The sequence below is a fragment of the Homo sapiens genome, chromosome 15 (assembly GCF_000001405.40).
Source record: "Homo sapiens chromosome 15, GRCh38.p14 Primary Assembly".
Lineage (NCBI taxonomy): Eukaryota > Metazoa > Chordata > Mammalia > Primates > Hominidae > Homo > Homo sapiens.
In genome coordinates this window covers 20,150,863-20,167,609 of record NC_000015.10, presented here as the reverse complement: position 1 = coordinate 20,167,609, position 16,747 = coordinate 20,150,863, and the positions used below count along the sequence as shown (strand labels likewise).

General features: G+C 42.7%; 1 pseudogene; it reads right to left on the bottom strand.

Annotated features, from left to right (window-relative positions):
* Nucleotides 6,784-13,834, bottom strand: BMS1P15 (BMS1 pseudogene 15; annotated as a pseudogene).

Below are 16,747 nucleotides of genomic sequence, written 5' to 3'. Positions count from 1 at the left end.
GGCCACTGTGGCCAGAGCTGGAGGCAGCAGAAGAGAGGCCCTAGAGGAGGGCAGGGGCCAGAGCAGCAGCGAGGCCAGACAAGGGCTGCGGCCTAGAAGCAAAGGGATGCCATGGAAGGAGCCTCGGAAAGTGACATCAAATTTGCATGTTTAAAAGCCGCGCTCAAGAAGTGCCGTCAATCATTAGAGACAGGTATCGGCCAAATAACCACATAAATACTTTTAAAAAACTAAACAATAATTTGGTAATTTCTTGGCTATGACACTAAAAGCACAGGCAACAAAGGAAAAAATAAATTGGACTTCACCAAAATTAAAATACCTTTGCGCATCAAAGGACACTATCAGAGTGAAAAGACACCCCGAAGAACGAGAGAAAATATGTGTGAATGGTTTACCTGATAAGGGTTTAATATCCAGAATATAAAAAGGACTTCTACAATTCAACAACAACAAAAAATCTGATTCAAAGGACTTGAATAGACATTTCTCCAAAGAAGGTCTATAGATGGCCAATATAGAGGAACAGAGAGCTTATACTTACAACTCTCCCCCCGAAACCCACTGTGCCTATTTCTGTGGTATGGAACTATGAGGTCTCAACAGAACAGATGAATAGATCCCAGTTTCTTTTCATGGAAATTTCAGGCCTTGTCTTTGGGCCACTAAGGTGCTTATTTCCCAGACTAACAAAAATAATCTAGCTTTTTGTCTTGACTACCAAACACTCTGGATTTTTTTTTTTTTTTTTTTTTTTGAGATGGAGTCTCACCCTGTCACCCAGGCTAGAGTGCAGTGGCGCGATCTTGGCTCACACAACCTCCACCTCCCAGGTTCAAGCAATTCTCCTGTCTCAGCCTCCCAAGTATCTGGGACTACAGGCACACACCACCACGCCCGGCTAATTTTTGTATTTTCAGTAGAGATGGGGTTTCACCATGTTGGTCATGCTGGTCTTGAACTCCTGACCTCAGGTGATCCACCTGCCTTGGCCTCCCAAAGTGCTAGGATTACAGGCATGAGCCACCATGCCCGGCCCACTCTGGATTTAAGGACAGTTCTTCCTTCAATCAGCAGCCAAAGAGTCCTGATTCCTGATTCTAATTAAGAAGTTTAACTTGGTATTCTATTTCTGATGGAAGGATGGCTAAAAGAAGGGAGACTCAAACAACAGATGAAGGCAAAATACTCTGTACTGAATTTTCAACGTAATCTTAAATTCTATGTTTAATTGAGATGACCCAAATTCTTTTTTTTTTTTTTTTTTGATACGGGGTCTCGCTCTGTCGCCCAGGCTAAAGTGCAGTGGCATGATCTCGGCTCACTGCAACCTCCGCCTCCCGGGTTCACACCATTCTCCTGCCTCAGCCTCCCAAGTAGCCCAGGCGCCCACCACCACACCTGGCTAACTTTTTGTATTTTTAGTGGAGACGGAGATGACCCAAATTCTTAACTGCCTCATAAATACTGTTAATATATTGAAAGTTTTGCCCTAGGCTTTTATTAAAGTCAACTATATAGAAAAGGTTTCTCCTATCTTGAAATGTATTATTAAAGACATCATCCCCAATAATATTCCATATTCTCTGTTTAGGAACCCCAGTTGTTTTCAAATTCAAGAATGCAGAGAAATCTACTTGTTACAAAAGAGTAGAATGGATAATGGGCACCACATCCTGAAGTGTATTTTAATAAAAATTCATGTAAGATGGTTCAAAATTTCACTAACTACTTTAAAAAGAAATGCCTGGGAGACTTCTATTTCCAGCAGAGTGGCAGACTGATGCCTTGAACAACCCTCTTATTACAAAACTGAATACTCCACATGAAAACAAATCTATTCAAATGCATTGTTAAGCTGTGAAGAGAATAACGAAAGTTCTAAGAAACCAAAATCTAAATGAAAACAGAAGTCCAGGCAGGCACTGAAAACCTAAAAAAAAACAAAAACAAAAACTGAAGAGGCCAATTGTTGGCAAGCATGTGGAACAGCAGGAACTCTTTAAGCTGCTGCTGGTGGTGGAGGCCAAGACACTGTGCTCCCAGAACACGACACAGAAGCCTCCACACTGAAGCAGAGCACAGGTGCCCTGGAGTCTCCACCCCACCCAGGGATCCTCCAGCAGAAGCACGTTTGCCCCTGCATACCTGCAAGTCCCATATCCAGACCTAGTGTTCAGGGCCGTGGGATAACAGCCAAAAATAGGAAATCATTTTACTCATCAATGGAAAAATGGTGACACAGTCATATAATGGAACTCAACAATGACGATAAATCAATGTCTACCACAGACAAGAACATGGATGTGTTCTGTAATACTGAACCAAATAAGCCAGGCTAAATAGAATGTGCTGTATTTTATAGAAATCAAAACCAGGCAGAACAAATCTACATCAGGAACTGGGAAAGTAGCTATTTTGTGTGTTGGGGCAGCAGTGCCTGGGAGAGGCCACAGGTCAAGGCTACTGCTTGGTCCAGGGCGTGGCAGCCTGGTGTGCTACAGTCCATCTAGATGCACACTTATGATTCGGGCACTCTTCTGTATGTACATTAACATTTCAATAAAAAGCTTATTAAAACATTAAAACTTTCAGAAAAATCCACATTGCTTCAGTAGAAATTAGCACATTAACGTTTAAAAAATACATGGATACGGTGGGGGAAAAATAGTTCAAAAGAGTACCCAGTGAAAAGTTTAAGAGGGAGTGACGCCAGCAAGGGGCTGATCAATAGCCCCTTGCACTCATCCCCTGACAAAGACACCCAAAGCAGCAAACAACTATATTTTGATGAAAGTCACTAAAAGAGAGCCCCAGAGTGCATCAAGGAGTAGCAGAAATCCAGTAGAGCACAGAAAACCAAGACAGTCACATAAAGGAGGGAAGGAAACATCTGGCCCCCACCACCCACTCCCCCAGAGGGATCAGCCTGAAGCAGAGGGGATATCTCCCTGCAGGGAAAAGGAAGCAAGAGGGGCCCAGTAGCCCCAGCACTCCCCTCAGAGAAGGAACTGACATTGTGCCCCACCCCCATGGACCAGCTGCTGCTGCAACGTGCCCTCCTGGACCTGGACCACTTCGGGAGCATGTCCCACCCAGGGGGAGCAGCCACCGCACCCTTCTTCCAACCTCAGGCTCTGTTGCTGTATATCACACCCACCTAGTGGCCCACCACCCCCGAGCCGCTGTTACACTGTCTTAGGCCATTTAGTGTGGCTGTAACAGAATACTTGAGACTCGGGGTAACTTATTTTATAAAAAAGGTTTATTTGGCTCACCCTGCTTGTGTCTGAAAAGTCCGAGATCGGGCAGCACAAGTGGCGAGGGTCTTGGGCTGCTTCATCTCATGGGGAAAGTGGAAGGCGAAACAGGTGTACGCAAGGGGCTCACATGGCAAGAGAGGAAACACGAGAGTCTAGGAAGCTGAACTCACTCTGATAACAATCCACTCCTGGTAACTAATCCAGTCCCATGAAAAGGCATTAATCTATTCATAAAGGATCTGCCCTGTGACCCAAATACCTCCCACTAGGCCCCACCTCCCACACCACCACATTTGGAATCAAATTTCAAATGGATGAAATTTCAAATGGCTGGTGGGAACAAATGATGTCCACATCACAGCATACACCCCACCTGTGGGGCTACGCTGCTGTGCCCCTCCCCTCCCAGCTGCCATTGTGCCCTGCCCCTTGGAGCCTGAGCTGACTTGGTGCCCTGCTTTCCAGGGAATCAGTGCCTTGGCCAGTCTGAGCAGTCACACCCCCCACTGCACGAGAGCTGAAGCGCTGCCCTGCTTCACAGGGAATCAGTGTCTTGGCTGAGCTGAGCAGCCACACCTGCCAGGGATGAGCCAACATGGCACCCCCATATCCTAGGAAAATGGCATTGGCTGAACTGGGGTACCTTGCCCTTCAGGACAAACAACTGTAGAACCCTGCTTCCTTGGAACTGGACTAGCTCTGGAGAATCTGAGTTGCCCAGGCACCTGCCTCCCCAGGGAGAGAAGTAGTTGCTGCACTGGTCCCTGCCCCTAAGGGCCCAAGCCACAGTAGGGCTCCACCATTCTGGGGTCCTTGCTGATGCTGCATCTGGCCTCACAGAGACTGAGATGCTGCTGTGTCCCACCACGGCAGGTTCCAGAGTCACTATCATGTCACTCCCATGTCCAGAGTCACTCCCATCCCCTGGGAGTTTACTTCTTAAACTCTTCGCAAAAACAGAGCGAGAGGAAATAATTCCAAACACATTTTACCAGGCCAGTATCACCTTAATACCTAAGCCAAACCAAAACACACACACACACACACACACACACACACACACACACACACCCCAAACAAAGAAAAACTACAGGTCAACTTCTCCAATAAATTAAAAACTGATGCAAATATCCTAAAAAAATTTTAGCAAATAGAATTCAACAACACATCAAAAACATTATACATCGTGTTTCAGTGGGATTTATCCCTGGCATGCAAGACTGGTTTAAAATATGTAAATCAATCAATGTGATATATCACATTAACACAATGAAAGATAAAACGACATGGTCATCTCAATTGATGCAGTAAAAGCATTTAACAAAGTTTAGCAACCTTTCTTGATAAAACCTCTTAATAGTTTATGTATAGAAGGAAAGTTCCTCAACATAATAAAGACCATTTATGAAAAACCCACAGTCTAATCATAGTTAGTGGGGAACAACTAAAGCTTTTCCACTAAGATTGAGTACAAGATAGGGATGGCCAGCCTCATCACTTTTATTCAATAGAGTACTTGCAAGAGCAATCAGATGAGAAAAAAAGGCAACTAAATTAAAGAAGTAAAATTATCTCTATTTGCAGATGACAAGATCCTTTATGTAAAAAACTCCAAAGATTCCACAAAAAACTGTGAGAACTACTAAATCAATTCAGTTAAGCTGCAAGGTATAAACTCAACATATAAAAATCAGTTGCATTTCTATATACAAATAACCTAGCTGACGAAGCAATCAAGAAAATAATCTCATTTACGATAGCATCAAAGAAAAACAAAAACTTAGGAATAAATTTAACCAAGAAGGTGAGAGATGTGTACACTTGAAAACCATAAAACATTGATGAAAGAAATTTAGACATGAACAAATGAAAAGACATCCTATGTTTATGGATCAGAAGACTTAATATTGTTAAAATGTTCACACTACCCAAAGCAAATATACAGATTTAACACAATCCTCATCAAAGTTCTGATGGCATTCTTCACAGAACAGAATAAAACAATCCTGGCCAGGCACAGTGGCTCATGCCTGTAATTCCAGCACTTTGGGAGACCGCAGCGGGCGGATCACGAGGTCAGGAGTTGGAGACCAGCCCGGCCAACATAGTGAAACCCTGTCTCTACTAAAACTACAAAAACTGGCCAGGCATAGTGGCATGTGCCTGTAGTCCCAGCTACCTGGGAGGCTGAGGCAGAAGAATTGCTTGAATCCAGGAGGCAGAGGTTTCAGTGAGCCGAGATTATGCCACTGCACTCCAGCTTGGGCGACAGAGTGAGACTTTGCCTCAAAAAAAAAAAAAAAAAAGAAAAGAAAAAACAATCCTGAAACTCATATGGAACCACAAAAAACCCCAAACAGCCAACAGATTACTGTGAAAGAAAAAGTTGGAGGCATCACACCTCTTGATTTAAAATTGTATTACAAAGCTACAGTAATCAAAACAGTATGGTGCTGGCACAAAAACAAAAAAATAGACCAATGGAACAGAACAGAGACCTTTGAAATAAATCCAAACATATACTGTCAACTAATTTTTGACAAGGGCAAACAAGACAACACAATGGTAAAAAAGATAGTCTCTTCAATAATAGGATTTTCACATGCAAAAGAATAAAACTGGACCCTGATCATACACCATACACAAAAATCAACTCAAAACAGATACAAGACCAAAGACCCAAATAAGACCTGAAACCATAAAACTCCTAGAAGAAAACATAGGGGGAAAGCCTCTTGACATTGGCCTTAGCAATAATTTTTTGGATATCGCACCACAAGCCAGGCTACAAATGTAAACATAAACAAGGAGGACTGCATCAAACTAAAAAGCTTCTGCACAGCAAAGGAACAACCAACAAAATGAAAGGGGAACCTACAGACTGGAAGAAATATTTGCAAACCACATATCTGATAAAGTGTTAATATCCAAAAATCAGTAAAGAACTCTTACAACTTAATAGCAGAAAAACAACCCAGTTGAAAAATGGGCCAAATAGGAAATGACCAATAGGAAATGGGGAGATGTACATTAAAATAATACAAAGTAGCAGACATGTAGGATGAACAAGTTAGAGATCTAGTGTACATCATGAGGGCTATAGTTAATAAAAATATATTGTCTTTGGGATTTTTGTTAAATAAGTAGATTTTAGCTGTTCCTGTCACACAAACAAAAATCTAACTATGTGAGATGGTAGCTATGTTAATTTGCTTCACTATAGTAACCAGTTTACTATCTATATGTATCCTTTAAGATCATATTGTCAACCTCAAATACATAAAATAAAATTTATTTTAAAAAGGAAAAGTTTGTCTTCAATCCAGAAAGAACCACTATTACCATTTTTTGGTGTTCCATTCCAAAATATCCCAAAAATATACAATTGTTCAATCAAATTTAACGTTAGACTTTATACTTGAACATTCAAAGTACGTAAGAAATTATAGAAAAGTGTCTGTGTGACTCCCTGTCTGTAGAGCACAGGCTTCATCTCTACTAACACACACACGACCAGTACCTTATACAGAGAGTCCTTGTTTGCCTTTAGTCTGACACCATGGGCGAGCCTGAGTTGGCCCGTGGTCCGCATTCCTGACCAGGTGTCTTTCTCACCCACTGGTTTCAACAAAGATGCTACTGGGTTATAGAAGGCTGGGATGGAAACAGGATACCAAGTTCGCATGAAGACAATATCTGAAAAGAGGTAATTTACTTTAACATTTTCAAAAGAAGATTCATATCCATATTGCGAAGAAACAAAGAACAAAACCTTCACTCCAAACTTCTCTACCTGGCTGCAAAGTATTTGAAGGGAAAGGTCGCTAAGGGAACTATTCTCATAGATCACAGAACTGTTACTGGGTGTGGCCAGGGGGCTGAAGACACAAGCGAATGGGCACACCGCATAACACTGGGAGATCTAAGGCTGGAGCTGCTCAACTCTCTGGAGACCTGACTCCAGCCTCTCATCACACTGGCTAGAAGTCAAGCATGAATGGTAACACCCTGCCCTGAATACTACTTAAGACATTCACCGCTCATCAGCAGCTTATCCTCAAAGCTGGCCCAGAAAGCTCCTTCTGGAGCTCAGAGTGCTTTCTTGATCTGCCCCCTTATCCCAATGACAGTTCAAATCACAGCACCTTCAAATTTGGCCACGTCCAAGGCAGAATTAAACATTCCCTACAGGTGTAGCAAGATAAAAAAACACACACACACAAAATCATATACTTTATGCTTTACTTCTTACTTCAAACATACATCCTTGATTAAAGAACAAAAACAACTCACTGAAGGGTGATAAAATAATCAAAATGTATTTGCCCCTGAAAGTGGAATTACTACCTCAAAAAGAATACAACTCTTTCATTTTCCCCAAAATAATCATGTGAGTTCATGGGCATGCTCATCACTGCTGTCTGTGTGGAAGAGAAGATCGAAGAGGGATTTACTGGACTGAATTGGCCTAGGAAGCCTTTGCTGGCATCTCTCAGACTGGACTGCAGCCCAGATCCTTTTACTCAGATGCATGCACTTAGAACATGAAAACAGTAAGATAAATGCTGGTGGTATTATTACCTTATATTGCAAGAACATTTTATGACTTCCTAACTCTGTGTTTTCAATAGAAACATCCCCACTAATGAAATTGTCAATAAATGCTGCTCAAACCACCCTCCCCAAATACTGAAAAACAGTACGTCCGTTTCTCTGTACCCTTGCCAAGTTGTCTGCAAATGCTTTGTCGATTTTTCTACCGAGTTAGACAAACTTGTGATTTTTTTCCCTTTCTTAACACAAATTTAAAAAGTAGGAAACAAAACCTAGTGGATAAAATGACATATTTTCAATATGAGTTCTGTGGCAGTCTCACATGGAAGTCAGGAGTAACAGCCTCAATTCCTAAATAGCTGTTTACCACTGCTTTTTTGAGCATATTTAAGTAATACAGAATATAAAGGAGCAAACAAAATATGAAGTTTATAAAAGATTTCAAACACTTTTCTAAAAATGAGGCCCATATTTTAGAGGTATTTCATTCCTTTTCTCAAACAATATGGAGATTTATAAATATGAGAATATATAGATATACAGACCTTAATAAATGAAGTGGAAAACCAGTTAGCTTTAATTTCTTCACAATTTTTATGGATTTATCCAGATCAAGGACAACTCCTGTGGCAGCTATCCGAAAATCAGGCTAACAGGAACCCCAAAATTTGAAAATAGGAATAATATTAGCAAAAGAAAAACTTCAATTCTATGTGACACAATAAATTACCAAAGTGAATTTTACTGACAATTAGCTAAGAAAAACAAGAGAGACCATCTGAACTTGCAACCCAGTGGTTTGACAAAAGCAATCCAAAACTTTAAAGTTGGTAAGCCAAACTAACAAGGGTGACTTGAGGCTGGGCACAGTGGCTCATATCTATAATCCCAGCTACTTGGGAGGCTGAGGCAGGAGAACCGCTTAAACCCAGGAGGCAGAGGTTGCAGCGAGCCAAGATCGTGCCACTGCACTCCAGCCTGGATGACAGAGTGCGACTCTGTCTCAAAAAAAAAAAAAAAAAAGAAAGAAAAAAAAAGGCTACTTGAGTACTTTCCTGAGAGTGATTTCAGAGGAATGTAATTTTACTATAATGATTTATTTGGAACGAAATGGAAAAGAAAAATACAGTTGCAATGTTTAGGAAATTAAAATTTGGACCTCCAGGGAAGATTCCATCTGCTCATTATTCTGCTTTCTTCTCTGTTAAATGGGACCAGTAAACCCTGCCCTGCGTGACTGGTCAAATGAAAATGGAGTGAACAGACTGCTACCCCAGCACAGCTGCAGGGAGTCTTGTGTCTGGGTGGTCTCTGATGGCTCCTCATAACCTCATATAGTGCTTAGCACATGGTGAGCACTGCTTAAATACTTGCTTAGATAAATAAATGCAAAAGATGCACAAAAATAGGAAATGTACCATTATAATTCTTCCACCTCCCCTCCTCTAATCCCACACCCTACTGAAAAGGATGTACGAAGATTAAAAGCAAAGGGAAATTTACTTTATATTAATAAAAATGAGTAATTTTCAATTTAAAGTCTCATGTACATAATAACCCACATTCAGGATATATTTCTCAAACCAATCTGTAAAAGAAATCATCCAAGATAGTTACCATTATGCCACTGACAGACTGTATTGCCAAGAAACCAGTTCCCTGTGGAGTGATAGGGTCTTAAAGGAAAAGGAAAAAAAGAAATATAGCAAACCACAAATTTTAGATTCTAGTTTAACATACTGGATATGGACATTTAGATTTGGATATAGATTTACATATATACTCCAAACCACCTCCCCGCTCCCAGAAAAGAGAAAAATCTTAGGAGTGGAATTTTATGAAAGGAAAAGCACAAAGCTAAAATAACGCAGCCTGTAAGGTTTAATCTCGGCAATAGGCAAGTTATTGTAATCATATTTTACCCCAAAAGGCTGCTCCACAATGCATGTGCTGTGGGGTATACTTTAGAAGCCTTTGTCTTCCATTGTGGTCTTCGATATAATAGAGCGGGATGGTCTGAAACCTCCTCCACCCTACAGAAAATATGATTGGATCTCGGGACTTGAGGATTTTCTTATACCAGCGATGTTTCTTCAGACGCATCTGAAGGGGATGAGAGGGTAAGATGATTGATGGAGGGGAAATCCACAGAGCCTCAGGCACCAAATATGCAGCAAAAGGACCCACCTGCACGTATCCAACATTTCCCTCGCTGTTGCCCAAGCCACCCAGGATAATGGGGTAATGGGGGTCAATGTTCTGCACAAATTCACAGGGAACATTTTCAATCTCAACGCGGACGTACATCCCAGGTCGAAAACCCTCATACTGAACTCTGGCTTCATCATCTTGATCTTCAAATTCTGCATGATTCAACTGTACATGACGGGGCGGGGGGCGGGGAACCTGTATGCTGTTATCTGTAATAAACATAGGATTAACATGAACAAATGAGCAATTTCTAAGTAAAGGAACTGTGGACAAAATTATGTAGGCTTTATCCTATTAAAAATACTACACATTTGGCCGGGTACAGTGGCTCATGCCTGTAATCCCAGCACTTTGGGAGGCCGAGGCGGGCAGATCACATGAGGTCAGGAGTTTAAAACCAGCCTCGCCAACATGGTGAAACCCCGTCTCTACTAAAAATACCAAAATCAGCTGGGTGTGGTGGTGCCTGCCTATAGTCCCAACTACTCAGGAGGCAGAGGTGAGAGAATCGCTTGAACCTGGGAGACGGAGGTTGCAGTGAGTCAAGATCGTGCCACTGCACTCCAGCCTGGGCAATAGAGCGAGATTCCATCTCAAAAAACAAAAAAACAAAAAAAACCTACACATTTTACCTCTACAGTCTGCTCAGAATATGTCCCAACCGTTTTCTTCTCTCCTGCTCCAAGGGACAGCAAATGTAGATAACTGTGGAGCCCTGCGTGCTCAAACATTGGAAACATCCCCAGTCCACACCTTCTTTCCTTCCTCTCCAAACAATTCTTTCACACTTTTCTCTTGTCTTCAAACACCCACCACCACCCTCACCTTCACTCAGCTGATGGCTGTTTCCTGATTCACTCCAAAACCAAAAGAACCTCTATGGTCAACCCTCTACCAGGGTTTCCTCCCATATCCAGCCTTATCAGAGCTCTGACCTGGCCCATAGAGGAGCTATGTGTGGCTATTTAAATTAAAATTAATTACAATTACATAATATTAAAAATGCAGTTCCTCAATCACACTAGTCACACTGGAAGTGGTCCATATCAACCTGCGGCCAGTGTCACAATACTGGGAAGCACAGACGTGCATCTCCATGATCACAGAAAGTTCTACGGGCAGCTCAGGCACAGATGATTTGTCCATGCCTTTACTCCGGGCCACACATCACTTGCTCACTAGACACCATCCACTCTTCCTGGATTTTATTCCAACAGCTCTTCCCTCTGTTCTCTCTCTTATCTCAAAACCTTTTGATTCCACTTCTTCCACCAAAAACTGCTTCATTTCTCTGCTTCTCTCTGCAGCAAAACCCCACAAAAGTTTTCTGCAGTTGCAGCCTCCAGTTCCTCTGCTCCCATTCTCCTACATCCATGAAAATTGGTGCTTGCCAAGATTGCTGAAGGCCTCCACGCTGAAGGACTCCTCCAGTGGTCAACTCTGCCTTTACCGTAGTTAACACTGCAGCGGGATCTGAACAGTGCTTCGCCTCCATGTACAACTGGACTCCTGCGTGCCTGCATGCTCACACTGCTTCTCCCTCTCCCTCCTCGGCACTGCTCAGGCCTCACAGCCGCAATCGCCCCATCTCGCCCATGCCAGTCTTGCTCCTCCCAGTCACTCTGCACTCACTCCCTGGCTACCTCACAGAGTTAAGTGGCATCTACATGCTGACGGCTGTACATCTAAGTCCCTGGCCAGACCTGTCTCTCCAGACTTGACGCTCCGCTTGTCTGCATGATACCCAGCCAAACCAAACATCATCTTCCCAAAACTGCATCTGCAGACAGTTTCCTATCTAACCTGCAACAACCCATCCTTCCAGGAATTTCCAGCCGCCATCCTCATTTCCTCTCACACATCCCACATTCAGTCCACCAGGAAATCCTACTGACCCAGCTTCCAAATAAACTCTATCCAGGTTTGACTCTTTGTCTCATCTCCACTGCCAGCCCTCTGGTTTGTGCCACCGGACTGATCTCTACCAGACTGATCTCTTGGCAGAGTGATCTGATTACCTGAATGTCTCTCCTCTGCTCAAAACCCTCCAAGGACTCCCATTTCAGAGTGAAACATTCAGTCTTTTCCAATGGCACACAAGGCTCTAGGTAATTTTAAATTGTAAATGGTGTGAAGCAAAAACTTCAGAGTTAGCCTAGTCATGCCTTTCAAAGGTCAACACAGACTAGCAACCACTAAGCTAATGCCTAATCAGGAAACAGTCCTTTGACTAGATGAAGACCTAGGATGAAACTCCGTTTCACAAATCATACACCTAATCTGTTCCAGCTTACACAGGCACTCCTGGCCTCACTAACAAGACGCAACTCAGATGCTCACCATCAACTGTACACACGTTTCTGTGTCTGTCTCCTTCAGAGTGAGATCACCGCCTCCAGCAACCTGCTCAGCACCCCCAGGCAGGAGGGCCACACCATCTCCCTTATCTCCGCATCTGACCTTATACTCCACATGTCCTTCTGAACTCTGACCAGGATGTTTTGAGAGCACTTCCCCTGGGAGCTCTTGTGTGTCCATAAGCCACACAGGCCACTGATCACCTGCCATTCAAATCAGGGAGCAGCGATCAGAATAGGCAGCATTGGCTTGCACTGAAATGAACACACTGTCTTAGATCACTACATTGTAAAAGTCTCAAAAGTAGAGACCATGTCTCAGTCATTTCGGTTTCCTAATTCTTGTTACAAAATAGGTATGGATCTTTTTCTGGTGACCTTCTGACTGTAGAAACAATGAGCTCACTGCATGAATAAACACACTCACATGCATCTACCCAGGAGTCCAACTGAAAGGCACAGAAGCAGGATAGGAAGCAGGGACCCAAAGAAAGTCAGGGATTCCTGCACTATGTGATAGTCTTGACAAGGGGCTAAGAGGAACTGAGGTTTCTCACCTGTGCTTGTTTCTGCATTTCTCCTTTAAGATCATCAAAATATGTGCTTTCTCCTTCATCATATTCCACATCAAACATCTCCTTCAATTTTCTCTTCTTATCCAAATGCTTTTTCTTGGCACTTTCTTCTTCATCAGGGTCAATTTCTTTCTTGTTTCTCTATATCTTCATTCTTAAATTTCCAGGAGAAAAAATTTTGTGTATGTTTATGAAGGTCTTTTCTTTAAACGTTAGATTTTTTAAAGTTCTATTTAAACAAAAATCTTAGCAAAAATCTGTTATCGTTATCAATAAAACAAAACAAAACACAACATAACCTTGGTCTCTGAATAACATGGTACTGCTACATGAAATTGTTACATCTGCATTACAATTAGCTGCTATTCCTTAAGCTGGCTGGGAACACAAACTAGAATAAAAATAACAGATATGTCCCTCACCCAGATGCTCCCAGACCCTGTTCTAAAGAAATATTAGGGAGAACAGGGACTTCATTCTTTTAAATGACACTTAAATTTAAAAAGAGGAGAATGATGGCAATGGTTGAATGTAAGTCTGAGAAGCTAAGACTTCTGTGAGTGAAAAATCACAGTGGACTTGGCAAATGACTACGGCAAGAAACGGTAGTAACTGTCGTCCAAAACTTAACAAGTAAACAAGAAAGCTTCTCTTTGGTCTCCACATCCCCACCCTTTAGGAAGGAATCTATCCATCCCATCTGCAATCTTCACACATCACAAGTAAGATTTGCATTTCTCAATATGGGCCTCTCTCAGAACACAATGACCAAGAACAGCCAGCTACAACAAAGACATACCTGAGTATCGGGGCCCGATTTTCCCTTGTGCACGTCCCCTGTTTCCAAGTCTTCAAAGTCACCATAGAGCTCCTCTGGGAAAAGAACACCCAAAGGCTGCTCTGTGAGCCCGGCATGCATGTGCTGCTGGCCCCACCCACGACAGGCCCACAATGCGCTCTGTGTTCCAAGCCTCATTCTCACTGCTCCCGTCACTAGACACACAGGCAAAACTTTGCACTAGGGAATGCTTCATAAAACGGTTAGTATTTCATCATCTGTTTAGGTAAACTAAATGGACCCAATCCACATTTCCGCACTTCATGTCAAAATCCCAATCTCAATTTTTCCAGTATAGATAATGGACACTCTTTTGTTTCTTTTTTTCTTTTTTTCTGGAGACGGAGTCTCACTATGTCACTCAAGCTGGAGTGCAGTGGCACAATCTCAGCTCACTGCAACCTCTGCCTCCCAGGTTCAAGCAATTCTACTGCCTCAGTCTCCCGAGTAGCTGGGATTATAGGCACCTGCCACCAGGCCTGGCTCATTTTTGTATTTTTTTTTTTTTTTTTTTTTTGAGACGGAGTCTCGCTCTGTCGCCCAGGCTGGAGTGCAGTGGCGCGATCTCGGCTCACTGCAAGCTCCGCCTCCCGGGTTCACGCCATTCTCCTGCCTCAGCCTCCCGAGTAGCTGGGACTACAGGCGCCCGCTACCACGCCCGGCTAATTTTTTGTATTTTTAGTAGAGACGGGGTTTCACCGTGTTAGCCAGGATGGTCTCGATCTCCTGACCTCGTGATCCGCCCGCCTCGGCCTCCCAACATTTTTGTATTTTTAGTAGAGATGGGATTTCACCATATTGGCCAGGCTGGTCTCGAACTCCTGACCTCGTGATGTGCCCTCCTCAGCCGCCCAAAGTGCTGGGATTACAGGCATGAGCCACTGCAACCGGCCAATGGACACTCTTTATGAAAGACACAGAGGTCTATCTGTGTCCCCCAAACGAATAATTCAAAGAGTGAATGGAAAAGTCCCACGCTGATAACCAGTACATGTGAAAAGGAGTCTCAATGTAAGTTCAACACAACACAATCATGTAACACACCTAGGGGAAATTTTAGATTATATAAAACATAGCATTTAGATTAAGAGTAGAGCCCCAAACCACACCAAACCCATGGGAAGAGCTTATTCACTTATTCATTCCTTCATTTGTTTTTGGAGCTCTGGGCTCAATTATAGTTCCCACTCTTAAAAGAAATAGACAAGTAAGGCTGGGTGCAGTGGCTCACACTGTAAACCCAGCACTTTGGGGGCCCGGGAGGCAGAGGTTGCAGTGAGCCATAATTGCATCACTGAACTCCAGCCTGGGTGACAGAGTGAGACCCTGTCTCAAAAAAAGGATAACAAAAGAAAGAGGCAAGTTAAAACTCATTTGGGAGAGCAATATTTAGAAGGCTATTAAAACATTTTCACATAAGGGCCAAAGAACCAGGTAGACATTATAAAAGATAGGAAGCTCCTATTTGTAATAAAAGCAAAAAAGGATAAAATAGGAATAAACCTAACAAGAAGTGCACCGGAACTTTATTTTTTAAAAAAGAAGAAAAGCTTTAATAGGCTACCAAAGGACAAAAGGAATAGCATCACTACCAACACTCGTAAGTGCTCTCCACACCAGGCACTGCGTTAAGTACTTTCCTTGCCTTAACCACATTCTTCAACCCAAGGAAGTAGGTGTTGTAAATATTATATACTGAATAATGATACGTCCTCATTTGAAAAGAAAGATTCGACATCACAAATATGCCAATTCTCCCTTTAGCACAGTTACAACCCGAAACCACCACTAAGGATTTCTGGTCTAGAGAAGATAACACATTATACCCTCCTAAGAAATGTAACCCAAATTGTAGAAATAATAGACAGGAGAGGATCAATGGAGAATTCCAAAAGGTGGACAGAAAAAGGCTGCTGAGGGACTCTAGGACTAGGGAATGCATAGTAGCCAGGTGTCTCCCTGGACCTCATCCAATAGGAAGGTGACCCAGGCCCAGAGTTTCCCAACTCCCAACGTAGCAATAGAAGGCAACCCAGGCAGACTCAGTCCCTGCAGATCAAAGGAGATCTTCCCCACAACAAGAAAACCAGCTCCACACACCAAGACCACCACCATTCCCCACCCACCTAGCTGCAGCAGGTGGCCCAGCCTGGGGCAGCTCCCCTGTTCCCTCAGGTGGGCAACAGAAGGGACTGGTGGGAGAATCCCAGTGATACATATAAGCCAAACAGACCAAAATAACACCATGAAAGCTCTGAAATTAAATTGCCATTGCAATCACAGCCCACAAAGTAGACCAAGACCTACAGACTAAACCTAAACAGGAGGACTGCCTGCAAAAATAAAAAAAATTACATAGGCAGATGTTGGAACCATCTGACTCATCACTTGTAACAGCCAGTATAAAAATGCTTCAACAAGCAACTACAAATCCTATGGCAACAATCAAAGAACTGAAAACGTCAGCAAAGAAACTGAAGAAGAATCAAATGGAAATTACAGAAATATAAAATACAGTAAAAGAAATTTTAAAAAAATCTAACTGGATGGGCTCTATTGAGTAAAAGTGGAGACGACAGAGGAGAGAATCAGAGAAGCTGAAACCTGATCAACAGAATTCACCCGGTCTAAACAATAGAGAGAAAATAACCTGAAAACAAATGAACAGAGTTGCACGGACCTGTGGGACGATAACAAAAGACCACGCATTTATGTTATCTGAGTCCCACAGGAGACCAGAGCTGTGAAAGCATGCAAATAACTAATTCCTGAGGCTTCCCACATTTGGTGAAAGATATAAACTTACAGATTCAAGAAGCTGAGCAAACCTCAAAGTATACCAAAAGAAAGCAACACTGATTAAACTTTCAAAACTAAAAACAAAGACCAAAAATGGCAGAATGCCTGTAGGGACACGCCAATTCAAATGCCATGGAGGCCAGAAGGAAG